Raw genomic sequence first — 21,088 nt, 5'->3', positions numbered from 1 at the left:
GCCTCTCCCCATGCAGCCAGCATGCCACCTTGCTGATAATCCTGCTGAGCAAGCACAGGGTGGCTGGATAAAGAGACAGAAGCAAGGCAGGCAGCAACCTTTTGCTGCTTTTTTTGCCCTGGAGCAGGCACCTTCCATGGAAGTATCTGACCTTAGCAGCATCCTCATCGTCATCGCTCCCTTCTCCACATCCTGCTCCACACAATGGTGCTGTTTTCGTATCCTCTACCTCTAGGAGCATATTTTGGGACATCCAGGCCCTTAATGTCAATATCAGTGTTTCTTGAAGTGTAGGCATCAGAATCGCTTACTTGTTTTTGTTAGTATGTAGGAGTCAGGAAATGTATTTTTATCAACATCCCCAAGTAATCTTTGTCTTCACTAAATTTTGTGACAATCTGATCTTGAACAAAAAGAAAGTAGTTCTCTTTTTTATTCTCTGTCTCTCTCAACTATCCACAGCCTGCCCTCTTAGTTCAGTTTCCTGGGCTAAGGACTTCCTTTTTCCTAGTGTCTGGCCCCAGGAACAATCTCTTTTTAGTGGCCGTAGCCCCCATATCTGCAAGATGTAGCCTTAAACCTCATAAAACTCTACAGAAGAACCATATGCCAGTTCAGTGTAGCCTCGGCATTCATGTAAGAAATCTTCCCTTCCAAGAATGGAGTGGGTTGGGTCTTCCTTCTTTGCCCTGCCAGAAGTCATCATGATGAAGAAGGCTGACAGCTGGAGAACAGAAAGCTGAAGATCATGGGTTTATTGGTCCACTCCTCGCTGAGGAGAGGTTGAGATTGAAAAATCCTAAAAGGGAAGCAACTCCCAGACTGCCAGCTGGGAAGGCACAGTCTGGGGCCAGAGAAGCTCCCCACTGCAGATCCATTTCCAGCGTGGAGAAAGCGTCCTCCTGCTCCCTCCAGTTTCAGCCTGTCCTGTGGTTTTCTGCAGCCTTTCAGGCAAACACAGACAATGGCATTCCCATCTTCCCTGATCCCTCCATTCCCACCATGCCACCTCCCCTCAGCAGATTCCTGCTGATGTTCACCTAAGCCTCCACCCCCTCAAACCCTTTACCCTCATCACCATAGTCATCACAACCTGCTTACTTTATTCATACCAAGTAGCAACTGAAAAGTCAAATTTCTGCGGTTGGGAATGCTTAGCTTCAGCAACAAAGTGTCTATATGTCAGACCACAATGGAACGCAGTAGTTTGAACTTTTAAAATGTAATTAACAGCTAGACAGTGCTTCTCCAAACTCCCAATCCAGTAAGCACTGAAGTGTAGAGTATCTAAAACCTTAACAGACTTCCCCTGTTTCTCGCAGGGGTTTTATAAAAGGATATCAAGGAGAATGACTGCCCTTCTAGCCCAGAGATTGTAGTAGGGGATTTGTTTAGAGTTAAAGAAAATATCTCATGGGACTTGGGTTCTGTTGGGTTCTGGACACTGATTTGTTGTGTCCAACATGACCAGATTTGCTGATTTGTTTGAAGCCCATTGGTCTCAGGTTCATCTTCTGTAAAATAAGATGTTTCCCAAGAAAGGGTCTCTACATGTCTCAGAAGCTTTTATGAGGCTGTGAGCCTCATCTGATACCAGAGGAAGATATCACCAGCTCACTGTTCACAAGTCCATCCCATTCCCAGCGTGGATCTGAAAACCACAGAGTGCCAGTCTCTGTAAGTGTCCTCTATTGTCTCTGGTCCAGATCCATGAAGATCCTGAACATGTTTGCACAACTGGAGGGAACAAGGGGGCCTCCCGGGGAGATACAGGGAGGCTGTGTGACAATGGGGAAAAAGCAGCACATTTGGAGGAGGCCTCGGTCCCCCAGGTCTGGTGGTAAGACCCTCTTTTAAGCTTCCTTAGTCCTCATCTTCCTTCAAGCATTGAGGAAACATAAAATACCTCACAGAATCCTCAAGGAGTGCAAATGTCCTAAGTCTTTCTCACCTTCCAAGCCCACATCACACTCCAGCTTCCAGCGATCTCTCTCCTGCTTTTCACAGTCAAACTTCTGGAAAGAATTGCTCATAAACCCCCTGCCTGGTTAACCCATCAGGACATGGTGGCTGAGCATATGGGCTCTGGATTCGAACTGCTTGGATTCATATCCTGGTGCCCCCACCTGGCCCCCACCATTGGCCTTGCACCAATGACATAGCTCTGTGCCTCAGTTTCTCCATGTGTAGATGAGGATAATAGTGTTTATGTGCATGCTGTATTAGGATTAAATGCCTTGGTTTCTGTAAAGTGCTTAGGAAGGTACCTGGCATATAATGAGCCCTCAATAAATACTAGGTATCACTGTCTTACAAATCTCAATTTAGGGCTAGCTTCTCAGAAATTCCACTTCAGGCCTCCTAGTTAGGGTCAGGCTTTCACAGTTCTCACTTAAGTTGAAATTAGGTATTTTTGGTGTGATTATCATGACCCTCATGCAGGGCACTCACTATAAGGTCAAAGGGAGCAGAAATTGCACCTGTGTTTCTCTACATAGTGTTCCTACTGCTTAGCTCAGTAACTGGCACACAGCAGGAACAAATACATATTTCTTGAACATACAAAGGAATGAGTGAGCACTGGTACTGGCCTGAGTCCGTTAATGAATGGAGGCTGCTGTCAGAGAGCAAGTGCCCCAAGCTCCTGGACGAACCCATAATGGAAGAGATCTTTGGCCAAAGGGTACCTGGCCGCTTGAAAGAATGACTATGGCTCCCAAAGGGGGCCTATTAGGGAAGCCCTTTGGGCGTAAGAAAGCTGACTTTGGGCCAAAGACTGTGCATGTCTTGGAGAAGTTGCTATTTGCACGTGAATGTCATCAACTGAGACCGTGATGTAGAACGAATCCTGTCACTCCTTGAGTCCTGTGGCTCATTGGAATCCTTTTGGAAGTTTTGGAAAAAAAAAAAAAAAAAAAAAAAAAAGCACAGATTCCTAAGCCCCACTCCAATCTGGAAATCTCCAGGAGTAGATCCTGGGAACCTAGATTTTTAAAAAGCTCTTTGGGTGATTCCGTTGCCACCAGCCTGTACAGACCAGCAGGCTCTAATCTGGCCAAATTTTATCTTTTTACAAAGGAGGAAACAGAAACACACTTTTACCCTGCATCAGTAAAGAGGGCATGAAATTTTTAATAAACACGGAAATTAGCTGATCATTTGTTAGGGACTAGAAAATATGGTGTGTGCCCTTGGAAACAGCACATAATACAAATCATCCTTGGTAGGGGTCATTAGCATGGAAATGAGATCTGATTAAAAAGCACTGACAGCACTTCCTCCTCCTCCTATTGTGATTAGAGCAAAAATTAGACTGTTTGGCACACTCAGTCAAGTTTCCTCCGATAGACTCGTCTCTCTTGGCCAGGGTATGTTTGCCAAGTTTAACACAGGATGGCCCAGTGTTACTTATCTAAGTGCTGACAGCCCTTCACACCTGAGTGTTCCTGGCTGGTGTGGACTCAGTGATCCAATCATCACCATCATTCTCTAACCCAGGGTTTCTCAACCTGGGCACTATTGACATTTTTTATTGGATATTTCTTTGCAAGGAGTGGGGGGTGCACTACCCTCTGCACTGTAGGGTGTTTAGCAGCATCCACGGCCTATGGTGTCTACTCACTAAAGAACAATAAAGCATGTCCCACGGACATTGCCAATTCTCCCCTAGGGAGGGAAAAAAGCCTCCCCTTCTCCCACCTCCACACTGAGAACTGCTTTAACCTTACAAATTCACTTAACAGAGAACTCAAAGGACCACAGCACGATGTCAGGAATTTTCACTGGAGACTTTTTCCCTAACAGAAAAAATATAAAAGAATATTTCTATGAATTTCATGGACAAGACCCAAAAAAGGACAAAACCAAAAAGAAAGGATTGATAATTTTGCCTACATTAAACTGTAAAACTTTCATAGGAAAAACATCATATATGAAGTTGCCATAGGGGAGAAAGTATTTACAACACAAATAATCGATGAGAGATTAATGTTCAGAATACACAATTGTATTAGTTCCTTCTCACACTGCTATACAGGACTGCCCAAGACTGGGTAATTTATAAAGGAAAGAGGTTTAATTGACTTACAGTTCCACATGGCTGGGGGGACCTTGGGAAACTTACAATCATGGCAGAAGGGGAAGCAAACACGTCTTTCTTCACATAATGGCAGGAAGAAGTGCCAAGCAAAGAAGGGGAAAGCCCCTTATAAAACCATCAGATCTCATGAGATCTCACTCACTATCACGAGAATAGTAGGAAGGTAACTGCCCCCATGATTAAATTACCTCCCACTGGGTCTTTCCCCTGAACTACAATTCAAGAAGAGATTTGGGTGGGGACACAGCCAAACCGTATCAATAAGGGATGTCTCAGAATCAATAACAAAAAGAAAAACATCCAATAAAAAACTGGGCAAAGGATATGGTAGGCAGTCTGTGAAGAGGAAACTCTGAATGGCCAATACACTTGGAAACTGGTCAACCCCATTAGTAGATAGGAAATGCAAATTGAAATGATCACATCCTACCTTACACTCATCAGAGGCAGTAAATGAACAGGTTAATAGTACCAAGTATTGGGGAGCAGGCACTGAAGTGATAGTATCTACTCCCATACACCACCAGTAGAGGCATAGATTGGTAAAAATCGCTTTAGAAAACTGTCTAGCATTATCAGGTAAGATTGACTCTGCCATTACTCTCCTGAACACATACCCCAAAAAACTAACACATCTCAACAAGGAAACACCATCAAAGGGTGTTTACAATAATGTTTGCAATACTGAAAAACGAAACAGACCAAGTATCTACCAACTGGGGAATGGATAAACATTTAAGATACACGTGCACATGATAGAATATCATTAGCATTAAAAATTAATGGACTATATAACTATGTGTAATGGGAAAATCATATTTTAAAGGGTAGTACAGCATGGACCCAATTATATAAAGCTTAAAAACAAAGAGTATACCATTTATAGACACATGCATATTGGTTAAAAAAATGGGTGAAACTTGGATAAAAGGGAGGAAGTAAATGGGATACAGGGAGGTCTACAATTGAGTTTACAATGTTTTATTTTTTAAACAAACAAAAAGAACATCTGAAGGAAAAATGGCAAAATGTCAACCTGTGTTTAATTGGGATTGTGGATATATGCGGTATGAATTGTTTCATTCTCTAGACTTGTTTGAAATTTTTAGTTTTTTAAATTAAACATTTAAAAATAAATACATCTAGAAAAGGCAAAACTATAGGGATTGAAAACAGATAGGTGATTGCCAAGGGCCAGGGATGGAGGTAGGTGTTGACTACAGAGGGGCCCCAGGAATTTTCAGGAGTTATGGAACTGTTCTATATCCTGCTTATGGTGGTGGTTATACAACTCTATTCATTTGTCAAAACTCACAGACATGTATACTTCTTAAAAGGTAAATTTTATTGTATGAAAATTATACATCAATGAAAAAACAAAAATGAAAAAATATCTGCTAATAATGGTAGGAACAAAAGGTGCAGAATTAGACATTAATTATTTTAAGTTTCTTACCTAACAAAAAGGAAATACTATATAAAATTGAATTGTTACTTGGAAGCATATATCAATGCATTCCTAGGTATAATCAATACATTTTAAAAATTCAATCAACATTTGAATTAATAATAATAAATGCATTTATATCACAGAATCTGCTGAAATACCCAGCACTTTACCCCTTTCTTTTTTTTTTTTTTTTTTTTTTTGAGATGGAGTCTGGCCCTGTTGCCCAGGCTGGAGTGCAGTGGCACAATCTTGGCTCACTGCAAGCTCCGCCTCCCGGGCTCACGCCATTCTCCTGCCTCAGCCTCCCGAGTAACTGGGACTACAGGCACCCGCCACTACGCCCGGCTAATTTTTGTATTTTTAGTAGAGACGGGGTTTCATCGTGTTAGCCAGGATGGTCTCGATCTCCTGACCTCGTGATCCGCCCGCCTCGGCCTCCCAAAGTTCTGGGATTACAGGCGTGAGCCACCGCGCCCGGCCTACCCCTTTCTTAAACGAGAGCAAAATGCAACTTCAGCTCATTCTCCCTGCTCTGGGTGCTGGAACAGCACAAGATTTCTGACATTCATATTAATATTCTTGACATTCTTATAATAAGTAGCTGTCAGAAATATTTGGTTATTAACTGAATGACTGAGTCAATAACCAAATGAGTGAAAGAAGGAAGAATCACTTCTCTGTCTTAACATCCTGTTTCTATTTTACTGGGGCAAGATCTCTTACCTCTACAAGGATAGTGATAGTTTCATTAAGTTTTCTTCTCTCTGCATAATCTCCTCTCTCAAAATTCCTTTGTTCTGTGGAATCCTTTTAGTCTTACCCCTTCCAGATGTCAAAGGCTTTTCCCAGGCTTGTGGTAACCCTGGTTGTGCTCATGATTAAGGGTGAGGGACTTAGAAGCTGACTGGAAGCTTTGAGTCAGGGTGACCAACACTGAGGGGTGTCCCAGAACGTGGGAGTTTCAGCACCAAAACCAAAAAAGTCACAGGTAAGCCAGGCTGAGTCGATCACCCTACTCTGAGCCCATGGTGTGAGCTTCACTGGAGGGGATCTGGCTGGGACTTTTCTGGAAGAGCCTTTAATGTCAATATTTTTAGGGATTTCATCTTGGGCCAGTCAGAATCCCCAAAGAAGCAGCTGCCAACCTTCTGCCTGGAGGGTCAAGGCCTGTCTGGCAGGGATCGGGCAGCCTCCAGGATGCGGTATTCACACAGCCCTCACTCTTCTGTAGAATCCCCATCCTCCTGGCTTCCCTCAGCCTAGACATCCTGCTCTGTCCGCCTCTGAGCATCAAGCTTGTCCTTCTTCACATTTACAGATCTAGAAGCGTGACAAGGCTGAAGGTGGTAAAGACAAGGACTTTCTCCATGATGTCCGTCCCCCTCTTCAGCCATGCCCATCTTTCCCAGAAGTCCCCAGGGCACTTCTCCTTGTGTGTCATTGGTCAGAGCTGGGTCACATACCCAAACCCGCACCAGTCACTGGCAAAGAAAAAGAGGAGGCACATTATTGGTTTCTACCAAATATGATGATTTCCCTTGGTATGGGCACCTTGATAAGGGAACAACATCAGGGTTTGTGTAGTGAAAGAGGAAGGGGTGTAAATGTGAGTAGGCCACCAAAAGAGGCCGCCTCTCAGCATATACAAGCAGTATTGATTTAAATCCCACTTGGGGTCTAGGGACTAAAGTTCTAAAGGCTTCTCGTCCCTTCAAGGACCCTGGGGCCTCTCAACTTTGAGCTTTACTAGAAGTGTTACCAGCGGAGGGTGTCCAGGTTCTTGGTGTTTTGAACAAAGAATTGAACAAAATGCACAAACAAAGCAAGGAAAGAATGAAGCAACAAAAGCAGCGATTTATTGAAAATGAATGTAGACACCCCAAGGTGGGAGTGGCCTGAGCATAGGGCCTCAAGAGCCCCTTTACAGAATTTTCTGGGGTTTAAATACCTGCTCTAGGTATTTAAAATCCTAGTTCTTTGGGAGGCTGAGGGAGAAGAATCCCTTGAGGCCAGGAGTTGGAGACCAGCCTAGGCAACATAGTAAGACCCCATCTCTACCAAGAACTTAAAAAAATTAGCTGGGAGGTCAGGTGCGGTTGTTCACAACCTGTAATCCTAGCACTTTGGGAGGCCGAGGCGGGTGGATTGCTTGAGCCCAGGAGTTCGAGACCAGTCTGAGCAACATGACGAAACCCCATCTCTACAAAAAATACCAAAATTAGCCAGGCATGGTGGCACATGCCTGTAATCCTAGCTACTTGGGAGGCTGAGGCAGAAGGATTGCTTGAACCTGGGAAGCAGAGGTTGCAGTGAGCTGTGATCACACCACTACACTCCAGCACTCCAGCCTGGGCAACAGAGCCAGACCTTGTCTCAAAAAAAAAAAAAAAAAAAAAAAATTAGCTGGGTATGGCAGCACACACCTATAGGCCCAACTACTTGGGAGGCGGAGGCAGGAGGATCACTTGAGCCCAGGAGTTTGAGGCTGCAGTGTGATATTGCACTGCACCCCAGCCTGGGCAACAGAGCGAGACTCTGTCTCTAAAACAATAAAAATGAAAATAGAGAAAAAGCATGAGGTTCCATGGACCCATCACCCAGCTTCAAACATTAACCACATAGCCAGTCTTATTTCATCTATGCCAGTTCCACCCAATATTGTTTTGAGGCAAATATCAGATTTTATATCATTTTGTTCATAAATATTTTAGTATGCAACTAAAAGATAAGAGATATAAATGTATGTATATATATGTAGTAATATATAACTACAATACCATTATTACATAAAAAGTGCAATCAGCCCTTAATATCATCAAATCACCTAATCAGTATTTAAATTTCCAGGCTTATAAACATCATAATACTTTTTTACAATTTGTTTCAGAATCCAAATAAGGTATACACAATCTATAAATCTTAAACTTCCGGGGAATTCTAGATTGAAACAAACCCAGAACAAAACTGGATTTCTCTAACCCTGCCTTATGTTATATAAAATTACAACAGCAGGAGGGTTGGGTTTTTTCCCTTATAAAAAAGTCTTTCCAATGCTGTGTCAGTCATTAGCTAGTTACTTCCACGGGTCCCAGATTTCTGGCCTCATAACTGGAAGCATTTGGCAATTTGGCTGCAGAACGATGTTGGCATGTGAGTCATCTCCCACCGAAGTCCACCCATGTGGCAGTGTTACCCTGAAAATGCCACTGGTCCTCAACAGCTCCTTGGAGGCCTAACGAAGTGAGAGGGTTCAGGTGCCAAAGAAGCCACCAGGGGGCTCCCGAGGAACTCGATGAACTTCGGCGTTCACTGAAAAGCCAATTAGGCTGCCTTCTCACAGCGCGGCTGTTGAGCCTTGGCGCCCCACTCCCTCAGGTTGGCTTCTTCAGCAGAGGGACCAGACCTCAGGGAGATGAGGTCTCTCATCTCATCATCCTCAGGGAGATGATCCCCGTGGCTGGCTGGCAAGGCCAAGGTTAGCTGTCCGTGGCCATCAGAGTGTGTGAAACGTTCAGCCTTCCCCTCCCCACCCACATTGGTCATCTTTGCAAACGCACTGGACAGCAAAGAGCATCCTCAGATGTGGCGCATCCCACGCTAATAAGGACCTTGTAGCCTGCGGTTGTTAATACTTTAATGAGTAAGTACACAAAGAGCTTTATTATAAGCGATGGAATGGACTTAATTAATCCATAACTGTAGACAGTTAATGCATAATTATACACCTAGAAAAAACACACATCCGAGAGCCTGGATCCTAGCATCTCTGTTTGGCCTTGCGAGTCTCTCCTCATCTCTAGGTCTCATCGCTGCAAATTGAGGGGGTTGGGCTGGAAACCACTGGCTGAGGTCTCTTCCTTCTCTGTTAGTTTTTGTTGAGGCCCTATGTTGGTGCATAGGGATATCCATCTATCTAGGGCTGCTGTGACAAAGTACCAAAAACTGGGTGGCTTGAAACAACAGACATGAATTATCTCACAGTTCTGGAGGCCAGAAGTCCAAAATCGAGGTGTCCCACGGGGCCATGCTTTCTCGGGCAGCTCCAGGGCAGACTCTGTCCTTACCTCCCCCGGTTTCTGGGGTTTGCCTTGGTGTTCCTGGGTTTGCACATGACTGTCTTCTCCCTGGGTCTTCACATCGTCTTCCCTGTGTGTATGCCTGTCTCCGTGACCAAACTTCTGCTTATTATAAGGACACCAGTCATACTGGATTAGAATCTCCATCCCCAGTGACCTCGTTGGACTTCATTATCTCTATAAAGACCCTGGCTCCAAATAAGGCCACATTCTGAGGGAATGGGAGTTAGGACTTCAACAGAGCTTTTGGGGGAGGGGATACAATTCAGTCCAAAACAGGGACTATGGTGAAGAATAGGTGATATTTGAAAGGCCCTATAATGACAGACCCATGAAGTATGCATGCTAGCGGGTCATACCACTGAGGTTCTAGGATAAAGTTACAAGTCTGCAAAGACGCCATAATAACACATAAACAATTCTGTCGTGGGAAAGTGCATACTGCATGTTGTAATTTTACAGAGAAAAGTGAAGAGCATAACCCAAATGAGCTTCATAACCCAAATTACATTAAATGCACGACATTTAATCATTTCCTGTGATCATTGATACAGACAATCAAATGGAGTTTAAACCAAAAAGAAATCCAGTTTCTGTTGTTGTTGTTGTTGTTGTTTGCTAAAATGGTACAACAGAAGTTTATTATTGTGCTACTAAAAATTTAGAGAACTCTCTTACATCATAAGAACTAAGAACTCTTTCACATATTAAATGCAAAGAAAATGTATATATTAAACTTTCACAAAATGAGATTCACACCCCTTCTCGGGAATACAAGCATTCATCACCTAGATAAGGCCACCTCATCTTTGCTCGTCATTACCAACAAGGCCCATCCATTCTTTTGTGTTTTAACCAGAACATTCATGGCCCAGCAGGTGCTGCTTCAGTTCCTGACATGGTTTCTCAATGAACAGCGTCAGGGCCAGCCCAGTGACGAAGGTCAGCACACGGTGTCCAGAGAAAAGATAGAACTGGAGAGAAAGTGGGCAGGGTGAACACAGTTTTACTCTGGGATTCCTATTGTGTTCAGATCTAAAGTGTACCATCCTAGCTCTATGAAATGCATCTGTAGGACAATCAGTGCTACATATTAAAAATAAAATAAATAAAATAAAAGATATTATCCTGTGCTGAAGCCCTCCCTCTTTCTGCCACAAATAAAGCAAAGAACAATGAAGCTCTTAAAAAAAAAAAAGACTTCCACGAAAGCAAATAGGTTGCCTTGTTGCTCAAGAAGAGAACAAGCTATGATACCATAACCTACCGTAACAGAACTAGGAGCTGCGTGCTAACTCACCATGTTGGTGTCAGTGTGGTGAATAAGTGTTTCCTGAAGGCCATTGTAAAGGATGATCAGAATCGGATGCACCAAGTAGCGAGCATAACTGATGCTGGACAGGAAACTCCAGATGTCCCAAGAAAGCACACGGTTCACCAGACCTGGAGGGAACAAGCACTGATGCATGAAGCCACAGCCTGTCTCTGGGCCAGTGAAGATGCCCATCATCCCATCGATGCTCCCATTGCATTCTGTGCCTAAGTCTGTGAACTTTTCCTAAGAAAGTCTTTATGCGTTATCATTTTAAGACAATGTACCAAACCAAAAACCACCTTTCTGTTGCAAGAATTATGATAACACAAGAGAGATACATGGTTTCAGCCCCTGAGCATAAAACATTGCATGTATAAAACAAGGTAAAAATTCCTCATATTCACCTGGGTTCTGGATCAAGATGCAGCCACAGGGGGGCGTTGGGATAAGGCATTTAACATTGCCAGGCCTCAAACTCTTCTGTCAGTGAGAGGCTTGCATTTGTAGGTGCCTTTCAGGACAAATATTCTGTAACTTGGTATATATTCTAGAACTGTGTTGTCCCAGACAATAGCCCCTAGCCACTTGTGGCTATTTAACTTAATTAAAATTAAATGCAATGAAAACTTCCTTTCTGAATAGGACTTATTGCTATCTCTAGTGAGTTGCATAGTGATCTTTCAAAAGATATGTCCACCCAGAACCTCAGAATGTAACCTTATTTGGAATAAGGGTCTTTGCAGATGTCATTAAGAGAAAGAACTAGAGATGAGATCATCCTGGATTAGGGTGGACCCTAAACCCAATGACAAATGTCCTTATAAGAGACAGAAAAGGAGACACAAATGCAGAGGAGAGACACAAGGAAGAGAACCATGTGATGACGAAGACAGAGACTGGAGTGAAGAGTCCATGAGCCAAGGAATGCCAAGGCTTGCCAGCAGCTACCAGAGGCTAGGAGAGGGGATGGGACAGATTCTCCCTCAGAAAATCCAGATGGAACCAACCCTGCTGACACTTCGATTTTGAACAGCTAGCCTCCAGAACTGTGAGAGAAAAAAATTTCTGTTGTTTTAAGCCACAGATATAAAATATAACTTCTGTTTCTCCTTTGCACAAGCCTCATTAAAAGTGCTCAGTAGTGAATCACAATTTGCTCAGGATAAATCTTTGGAGCCTTCCCAGACTCCTTTCATTCCAGACTCCATAGAGTGCTTCCAAAAATATGTCTCAAATCAGACCATTGCTCCTCACCTCCATGGCTAACACCCTCGTGAATCTTCCATCACCTCCTGCGTGGGCCTCCATGGTAGCTTCCCAGTGGATCTGTTGGTCTCTGCTCTTGTTCTTGCCACCTTATAGTCCCCACACCACATCCAGAGTAATCTTTTAAAATCACATATCAGGGAGAAATGGGGAAGGGGGAGATATTGATCAAAGCGTACAAAGTTTCAGTTAAACCGATGGAGTAAGTTTTAGTGATCTATTGCACTGCATAGTGACCACAGTTAATAATAATGTACTGGATATTTTTCAATGGCTAAAAGAAAAGATTCTTAACATTCTTACCACAAAAAAGAGATAACTTGGTGAAGTGATGCCTATGTTAATTAACTTGATTTCATCTTTCTACTAGGTATACATATACCAAAACATCACATTGTACCCCATAAATACAGTTATTATTTGTCCATTTGAAAATAAATTTTACAAATCCACAAATCAAATCATGGGCTATGATCTGAGTGTTTACATTCCCCCAAAATTCATATGTTGAGATCCTAATCCCCAAGGTGTTAGTATCAAGAGGTGGAGTCTTTGGAGAGGCAATTAGTTCACGAGGGCTGGGCCTTCAGGAATGGTATCAGTGCTCTTATAAAAGCGACCCCAGAGAGACAGCCCTACCCTTCCGCCATGTGAGGACACATCTAGAAAGTTCCAGCTAAGAACCAGAAAGCAGGCCTTCACCAAACACTAAATCTGCTGGTGCCTTGATCTTAGACCTCCCAGCTCCAGAACTGTGAGATATAAATTTCTGTTGTTTTTAAGCCACCTCATTTATGGGGCTTTATTTTTGTTATAGTAGCTGAAATGGACTAAGACTTCATGTGATGTGGCATTTAAAATAAAATCCAAACTCTTCCCATGGCCTTGAAAGCTCTGCCTAACCTGGGTCCTACCCTCCTCTCTGAGTTCCCTTCCCACCTCTCTCTCCCCCTTGACCCTTGGTTCCTATCTCACTGGTCATTTTGCTCTTCCTCCAAGCCACTAAGCTCGTTCCAGTCTAGAGACCTCTGCCTTCACATTCCATCTGCCCAGAATGCTTTCATACCACATCTTTGCAAATGTACCCCTAGTCCAGTTAGTTACCCACTAATCCCTGCTTTATCTTTATTCACTATATTTAAACTTCCCCCGACCCTACTGTAATCTCTCGCAAGGGAAGGATTTTTCTTGTCTATTGCTGTATCCCCAGATTCTAGAACAGTACCTGGCATAGAATAAGCATTCAAGAAGTATTTTATGTAATTAAGTGAATAAACACAGATGGACTTACAGACAAAAGACGCTTTTCCCCCAAGTGAAGGCTATAAAAGGTAAACCACAGTTTCACTGTAGAACAAAACAAAGTAATTGTAGAAGAATGAAGTCAGCAAAGAATCCATGCTCACGCAGATAAGCCAAACACAAAAGAACGCGCCCTAAAGCAAACAATACTGTGTTCATATTATGAGCCACAGGTGATTCCAGCAACTGTTCATCATATCATATTAATGTTGCTAATGCAGATTTTATTGGTTTTATAGTTTTATGATTACTTCATAAATTTGTTTTGGCTTTCTGAATGCATGTGCTATAAACATAAAATTTTGTATCTAGGTTTATGTTTGTTCATGTTTAGGCAAAATTGGACCAAAAATAAGAGCAGATAGTCAGGGTAACTTGAATCTATGTTCCCAGGAAAAAAAAAGCATTGAAAAAATAAGAATAAAAATAAGTTGAGCCAACACCAAGAATCCAAAATAATTCTTATTTCTTTAGAATAGGCCCACATATACTTAAGTTTGAGGACGAAAGCTGTAGGTGACAGACCACCACTGAAGGGCTTTAACTGAAGGAGTAATGTGGTCAGATGACTCTGGCAGCTCAACAGAAGACAACTTTGAGCATAACAAGACCAGCATGGTCAACATTGCTACCAAGCAAAGATGGTTAAATATTCATTGAATCATCAAGATCCTTTCTAGTCCTGAAAGTCTCAACTAAACATTTCTTCTTATTCAAACTCTTATTTTTTTCTAAAGATCATCAGCTAGACACTTTTTTATTTTTCGAGACAGGGTGTCACTCTATTGCCCAGGCTAGAGTACAGTGGCCTGATCTCGGCTCACTGCAACCTCCGCTTCCCAGGTTCAAGCAATTCTCCTGCCTCAGCATCCCAAGAAGCTGAGATTACAAATGCGCACCAGCATGCCCAGCTAATTTTTGTATTTTTAGTAGAGACAGGGTTTTGCCTTGTTGCCCAGGCTGGTCTTGAAATCCTGGGCTCAAGCGATCCACCTGCCTCGGCCTCTCGAAGTGCTGAGATTACAGGTGTGAGCCAGGTAGACACATATTTTCCAAAAATGTATTTAAGCTATCACCTCCTACATTCACCTACTAATCAATATTGATATCTTACAGATAGTTTTGGAGATACAAATCTAGGACATCAGGTGCCCCTACAGTTGTGGATTTGCTAGTGACAACACACCTTTGAATGATAAATTGCTCAATAATAAGTAAACTGGCTTGCTCATCTCCTGGGTGATGAGATAGCATCCTTACTCAGACTAATGATGGAGAGCATTTGCTTGTTCCACTGTAATAATAATGCTGCAGGCTGGGCATGGTGTCTCACGCCTCTAATCCCAGCACTTTGGGAGGCCGAGGCGGGTGGATCACGAGGTCAGTAGTTTGAGACCAGCCTGGCCAACATGGCAAAACCCCATCTCTACTAAAAATTAAAAAATTAGCCGGGCGTGGTGGCAGGCGCCTGTAATCCCAGCTACTCAAGAGGCTGAGGCAGGAGAATCGCTTGAACCTGGGAGGCAGAGGTTGCTGTGAGCCGAGATCGTGCCATTACACTCCAGCCTGGGTGACAAGAGCAAGAGTCTGTCTCAAAATAATAATAATAATAATAATGCAAATTTGTTTAATCTTGTAACTTCACCTAAGTCATTCCTCTCTAATATCATTTGTTAGCCAGTTATTTTTGATAAACAGCAGCAGCTCTCACAGTAGAGAGGAATACTGTGATGTTTGCAACATTATAAATGGCCTGTGCCAGGCCACGGAGAGTAGTTGTTTATGAGGCTCTATGACAGCTCGGGGACATGGTCATGGGGTGAGGCAGCAGGGTTGTGGTAACATATCCCAGAGTTTCCCATAAATGCAAATACATCAGTCAGAGAGAACGCAGTCCATTTCCTCTTTAGTATCACTTTTCCATATAAGGGAAAGCTTTTAAAATTAAAATATGAAAGATCATTAAGGCTCATTTTAAAATTACAATATTAAAGAGCATCGTTATATTAAAATACTTGTAAAATTTAGGAACCATTTTAATTAACATCTGGGAAAAGTGCTATCACTTAGGAGTGAAGAGCACTGGCTTTGGACTTCGTGCTGGGACCTGGGTTCATTTTCTACTTCAGCCACTCACCAGCTGTGGGATTTTCACTGTGTTGCTTTCTCTCCTGACATGGTTGTTCTCATTGCTAATTATAGGTCTTCCTCCCAGGGGCGTGGTCAGTGCTACCGGTAAATCATTATTTCCCACCACCTTTGCTGAGGCTGACTGGTGTGGGTTTACAGGCTAAGTTGAAACTCCTCCTGATGGGTTATTTCCCTAGAGTATGAAGCAGGCATGCCTCCCCCCAGATCCACTGCTCCTCTGTCAGGGCTTTGGGTCGCTTGAGGCCAGAATCTCTTCTGGGAGCTTCCTGCCAGCCTTGCCCTGTTGTTTGCTGACGTCCCAAGCACACAGTTCCTACCTCTCGCCAAATAGAGATCACGGGGAGAAAAGCATCAGGTGACTTGGATACACCCTTCTAACCTGGAGAAGATTCTTTTCCATTGAAGCCTTTTATCTGCTTGGCTCTCTGCATGTTGAAAGCCAACTCAGTTATCAAAGGGGATCCTGGCAAGCATTCCCCATCTACACCTTCGGATGGGGAAACCAAGGCTCAAGGTGCTGTGGCTGGAAGGCAGTGCTCCCAAGCACTGATTTTTTTTTTTCTCATGACATTACTCTGCCTGAATTCCCTTTCCAACTTCTAAACTAGCTGCATTGGAGAGGCTGCATGTTCTTCTTTCAGAACCCACACTTGTGCATAAATCCATGTAAAAATCTTATACATAAATCCTTTGTCTTTTCCAAGGATGGAGAGAAATTGATATTTTTGAATCAATATCAGTCATTCATCAACCACTCCAGAAAACAGAAATCACTCCGGTACACACCCTGTGTGTTCGATTTGTCACCTTTAAAGGAACAGGGTGTGAACCCGACAGCAAAGCCTGGAGCCGCTTCCATACCTCCATATCCTCCGTGGCACGCAAAGAGGACTCAGCCCACAGCCGCCGCCCACAGGGTCCGGTGGAGGGCTTGGTAGAGAGCTGCAGCTACTAGAGAGGAAGCAGAGGAGTCATCCACCATGTATGCCAGAGCGGCCACCGCAAATAGGGTGACCAGGGAGCAGCTCCACCCCAGCAGGACCTGCATCTCCGGGGAGAGGAGAGGCGGGGCCCAGCCCTTTTTAGCCATTGTATAATTCCCTCCTCCTACACAAACTTATTTTTTGGTGTTATTCCTGTCACTTAGGTCTTTATTCGCAAACCTCAGTCAGCATAGATTTGACTAAAATGGAAGGTTGTAATTTAAAAGGGGTGGCCAGGAGATCTTTGTGGTGACAGAGAGTTCTGTACCTTGACTGTGGGGGTGGTTGCACAAATTTGCACATGGGACAAAATTACCCAGAACCGTACAGACGTGCGCGAATGAGTATGTGTTGGTAGATCTGAGGTCTATTGTGCCAATGTGATTTTCTGGCTGTGGTCAGGTACCATAGTTGTGTCACACGTTGCCTGTTGGGGAGCTGGAGCACACAGCACCTCTCTGTACTAATTTTGCAACTTTTGGGGCATCTATAATCATTTCAAAATGAAAGTGAAAAGAAAATCAATAAGTAATGTTCTAACCCACTCCTAATCTCCCATTTTGTCCGGTAACCAGATTAATGCTCCTTGATGGCTTCCGCCTTCACCATAAACGTGAGGGCCTCCAGCACACAGCCCCGGCCTGGGCAGCAGCCTAGTCAAGTGGAAGGAATGGGAATGTGAGAAGTCTTCAGCTCAAAGAATAGCCCCATGAGTTAAATCCTAACACCTGACTCACTTCAAGATCTTGACCTTGCGTCACCTGAGTTGACCTTTTTAGACCCAGATCTGTCTTCCAAGGAGCTCTCTTGCTTCTCCGTGCTGTACTCAAGCTGCTGTGATTATGTCTACACTGCACTGAACCAACATCGGATCAGTCCACCGTCTTGTCTCTGAGACCTGCTTAGGTCTCAGGTTCCTGGCTGCGGGAGAGGAAAGGTACATACTCAGTGGCACTCCACTCTTTTAGCCTGGGATCTCCCTCACCCCTTTGCTACTTCCCTGGCCCAAATGGGCCTGCAGTCTCTCAAAATGCATCTTGGGTATCATGTTCTCTTTCTGTCCTTGTCTGCTTATCTTTATTATGGTGCATCCTGCCTTATCTCACTCCTGGCAGCTTCCTCCAGTTTAGACCCCGTGTCTTTATTTTCTAGCTTCTAAAGCTTTGAGTTTGGTGTACCCAACTGTGCGCGTTTCTCCAGGTTAACTTGGCTTGTATTTCAGCTCCGGGCTTCCTGGTGCTGACCCTGGCCCTTGAAGTCATTCCCAAATGCTCCCTCTTCAAGTTAAGTTTTGCCCTTTGCTGACACACATTTTCTCCCTGGGCTCCCATGTAACCTGGACTATGTTGAAGCCTCTCTTTAATGGCACTCTGTTATAGTCTACAACTGAATTGTGCATTTCCAGGAAAATATCGTAACTGCAACCTATAGAAAAAGTCACACAGCTTCTGTATATTCATTCCTTTCGGTAAAATCTTATCTCTTCTTCCTCCCATGGGCAACACAAGGTTTTCCAAGGACCAGGGCCTCTTCTCTGGAACATCTAGGTAAGGTACCCACAAAGCCTAGGCAAACAAAGGTAGGACCTGGCAGAGGGGTTTGGGGCAGGAGTTGTATCCTAACTTCTGGCCCTTCCTCCATTGAGAAGAAAATTCTCTTTCATTCATTCATGTGTTGAGTACCTTCAGTGAGTCAGGATCTCAGAACCAGATGCTGGCGATTCAGAGGTGATACAAGTAGTGAATTCCAGGAGCTCACAGTCTATGGGGTGAATAAATGCTTTATCATGCGGTACAAACCAGGGCCCAGGAATATACAGTGCACAGAGGAACCAAAAAGAAGGACACAGCCTGGCCTGGAAGGATAAGGAAAGACTTCCTGGAGGTGAAAAGTCTAGGTGAGCCTTCTAGGCAAAACAGGAGTTAAGTCAGATGAAAGGGAGAGGTGAGTAGAGGGGAGGGGGTAGAGGCAGATTCCAGACGGAGGAAGAAGCATGAGCAACTGCACAGATGCCAGGAACAGCTTGTGTGTGTGTCAGTGGCGGCAGTCAAGGGCACTGTGAGCAGGTTGGTATCACTGATATGCAAAGTGCAAGGCAGAGAGTGGTGAGAGAGATGATGCTAGAGAGACAGGCAGAGTGATGTCATGGGAACTCTGAAGGCCTTGTTGAACAGATCAAGCCTTATCATGGATGTAAAAGGAAGTCATTGAAAGATTTTTCACCGTTCAAGGGCACAGCCAAGGTGGTGTCTTAAATAGATCACCCCAAGAGTAGATTTGAGATCAATAAGACTAGAGGCAAGGAAACAAGTGACAACATCCAGGCATGAGATGAGAAGAGCTTTAAGGTCAGTTCAAAAGGATGAGAGAGGATGGCAGGAGAAACCATCGGCAGAGCATGGGGGATGATTGGCTGAGAGCAGTGGTCAGTGAGGAGGAGGCATCCAAGATGAACCCGGGTTTCCAGCTTGAGTAACGAGATTGGATGGTGAACTAGAATGATTGCCCACAAAGGAGCCAGAGAAGAAAATGAGTGCTTGGGGTACATCTGGAAAAGCAAAGTAACAGCTTCCCCTCTAGACACCTCACGTCCTGATTCCCAGACACAACCATCAAATCTGACCAAGAATCTTGTATATAGAAACCACTGAGCATGTGCTGTTAAAAATCCAACCCAACTCAGTATCCTCTTCCAGAAGAAAGTCTTGCCATTGTAATCTCACTGGGTATGTTTTCTCACATTGGTGGTTTCTTTGGGTCAGTACCAAAGCTCCTACAGATGGGACCACACTGGGTTCCAAATCTGGAGGATCATAAGGAGAGGTCAGTGAAGAAAGCAGAGAATCAAGCTCTGGCAGGAAGATAAAGGCCTTATCTTTAAATTAAAAAAAAAAAATGAAGACAGGGGTTTCACCATGTTGCCTGAGCTGGTCCTGAACTGGACTCAAGGGATCCTCCTGCCTCAGCCTCCCAAAGTGCTGCGATTACAGGTGTTAACCACTGCACCTGGCCAATTCCTTCTGATTCTTTAGCACAGAGAGACATCAGTAACACTCTACAGCACAATACAGTACCCAGCAGGCTGACTGCTTCATCCACAGCTTTGGAAGAGCCTGGCCAGGTGGGCCACACAGTCCCAGCCAGACCCATGCCCATAGAGTGAGGCACGGGAAATCATACCTTGGTTCTGAGAATGTTTTCCTGGTGGTTTTGGTGCATGTAAATGCTCAGAAAGAGGCCCACAAGAACTGGCCCAAATCGGCAGTAGGGCTTTGTGTAGTACTCCACGAAATACAATACAATCGCCTCTTCACTGAAAAATACAAGGAAATAAGCCAAAATGTTATGTTTGATCTGGACATGGCAAAGGGAATCCAAATCCCTGAGATGTCCATTGGAATAATCAGCAAGCCCAAAGGTACATTTAGGGCACACTTGTTCATTTCCTTAGTCATGGTGCGCAAACAGTGACCTCATGGCCCCACCTCAGCCAAAGTTGGCTTGTTTAGGTTCCAAATTCCCTCAGGCCCCTCCACCCCAGATCCCAAGGAAATATCATGAGTGTATTCATTTTAAATAGCTGTGTCTGGTGGCCAATATGTCAGAATGTTCTAAAAATGTAGCACCCAGATGTGAACCCAAGGGTCCCAAGGACAGAGACTGTCCTGAGAGAGAAGTGATGAGAGGTCCAGGCCAGGCTATTAAAAGGACACCAAAAACTATTCTTTGAAGCTGTGTTTTTCAAGGTTTCATCCCTTGACATCAACAGCTGCGTCAGGCCAGGCATGGTGGCTCACACATGTAATCCCAGCACTTTGGGAAGCCGAGGCAAGAGGATCATTGAGCCCAGGAGTTTGAGACCAATCTGGGCAACATAGAGAGACCCCAACTCTACAAAAAAAAAAAAATTAGCCAGGCCTGGAGGCACATGCCTACAGTCCCAGCTTCTCAGGAGGCTGAAGCAGGAGGTTCGCTTGAGCTCAGGAGGTTGAGGCTGCAGTGAGCGGTGATCATGCCACTGTGCTCCAGCCTGGATGACAGAGTGAGACTCTGTTGCAATAGAATAAAAAACACAGACAAAAAAAAAAAACACCTGCATCACCTGAGAACTTATTAGGAACCCAGACTCATGGGCCCCACCCTGACCTACTGGCAGTGGGCTCAACCATCTGTGTGTTAAGAAGCCCTCCAGGTGACCCTGATACCCCCTCAAGGCTGAGAAGCTTTGCCTAAACAGTGCCATTCACGGGAGGCATCCAGGTTATACCCAAGCCCAGGGAATCATCATCTCTGCACATGGACTCAGGGACTAGAAATTTTAAAACTCTCCTGAGTTTCCCAAAGGCAGATTGAGAACCCCTGCTTTAAATTTATCACCGTTAAAATTATCACCATTCCCCACTGAAGCTAGACGCACTCTCAGCCCCTAGCTGCCCATGCAGGGAC

General features: G+C 44.1%; 1 pseudogene across 1 annotated transcript in view, besides 3 other annotated features; it reads right to left on the bottom strand.

The window, feature by feature from the left end:
* Nucleotides 6,424–6,473: an enhancer, noted in NCBI's record as "active region_13407". NCBI's record gives its function as "activates an Ori minimal core promoter by ATAC-STARR-seq in GM12878 lymphoblastoid cells {active_cell/tissue: GM12878}" and the evidence as "EXISTENCE:reporter gene assay evidence [ECO:0000049][PMID:35858748]".
* Nucleotides 6,484–6,603: an enhancer, noted in NCBI's record as "active region_13406". NCBI's record gives its function as "activates an Ori minimal core promoter by ATAC-STARR-seq in GM12878 lymphoblastoid cells {active_cell/tissue: GM12878}" and the evidence as "EXISTENCE:reporter gene assay evidence [ECO:0000049][PMID:35858748]".
* Nucleotides 10,131–21,088, bottom strand: part of OACYLP (O-acyltransferase like, pseudogene) — a 72,699-nt pseudogene continuing 61,741 nt past the window's right edge. The window contains exons 12-15 of the transcript NR_024021.3: nt 19,823–19,955; nt 16,521–16,707; nt 10,926–11,068; nt 10,131–10,599 (exon numbers count right to left, since the gene is read on the bottom strand). The product of NR_024021.3 is annotated as an O-acyltransferase like, pseudogene (transcript). The remainder of the gene's footprint in view (nt 10,600–10,925; nt 11,069–16,520; nt 16,708–19,822; nt 19,956–21,088) is intronic.
* Nucleotides 15,926–17,125: an enhancer, noted in NCBI's record as "BRD4-independent group 4 enhancer chr18:56729547-56730746 (GRCh37/hg19 assembly coordinates)". NCBI's record gives its function as "activates an origin of replication core promoter dependent on BRD2, P300/CBP, MED14 and CDK7 cofactors, and independent of BRD4, by STARR-seq in HCT116 cells {active_cell/tissue: HCT116}" and the evidence as "EXISTENCE:reporter gene assay evidence [ECO:0000049][PMID:35650434]".

This window comes from Homo sapiens, chromosome 18 (genome assembly GCF_000001405.40).
Source record: "Homo sapiens chromosome 18, GRCh38.p14 Primary Assembly".
Lineage (NCBI taxonomy): Eukaryota > Metazoa > Chordata > Mammalia > Primates > Hominidae > Homo > Homo sapiens.
This window is presented reverse-complemented; position numbering and strand designations above follow the sequence as displayed.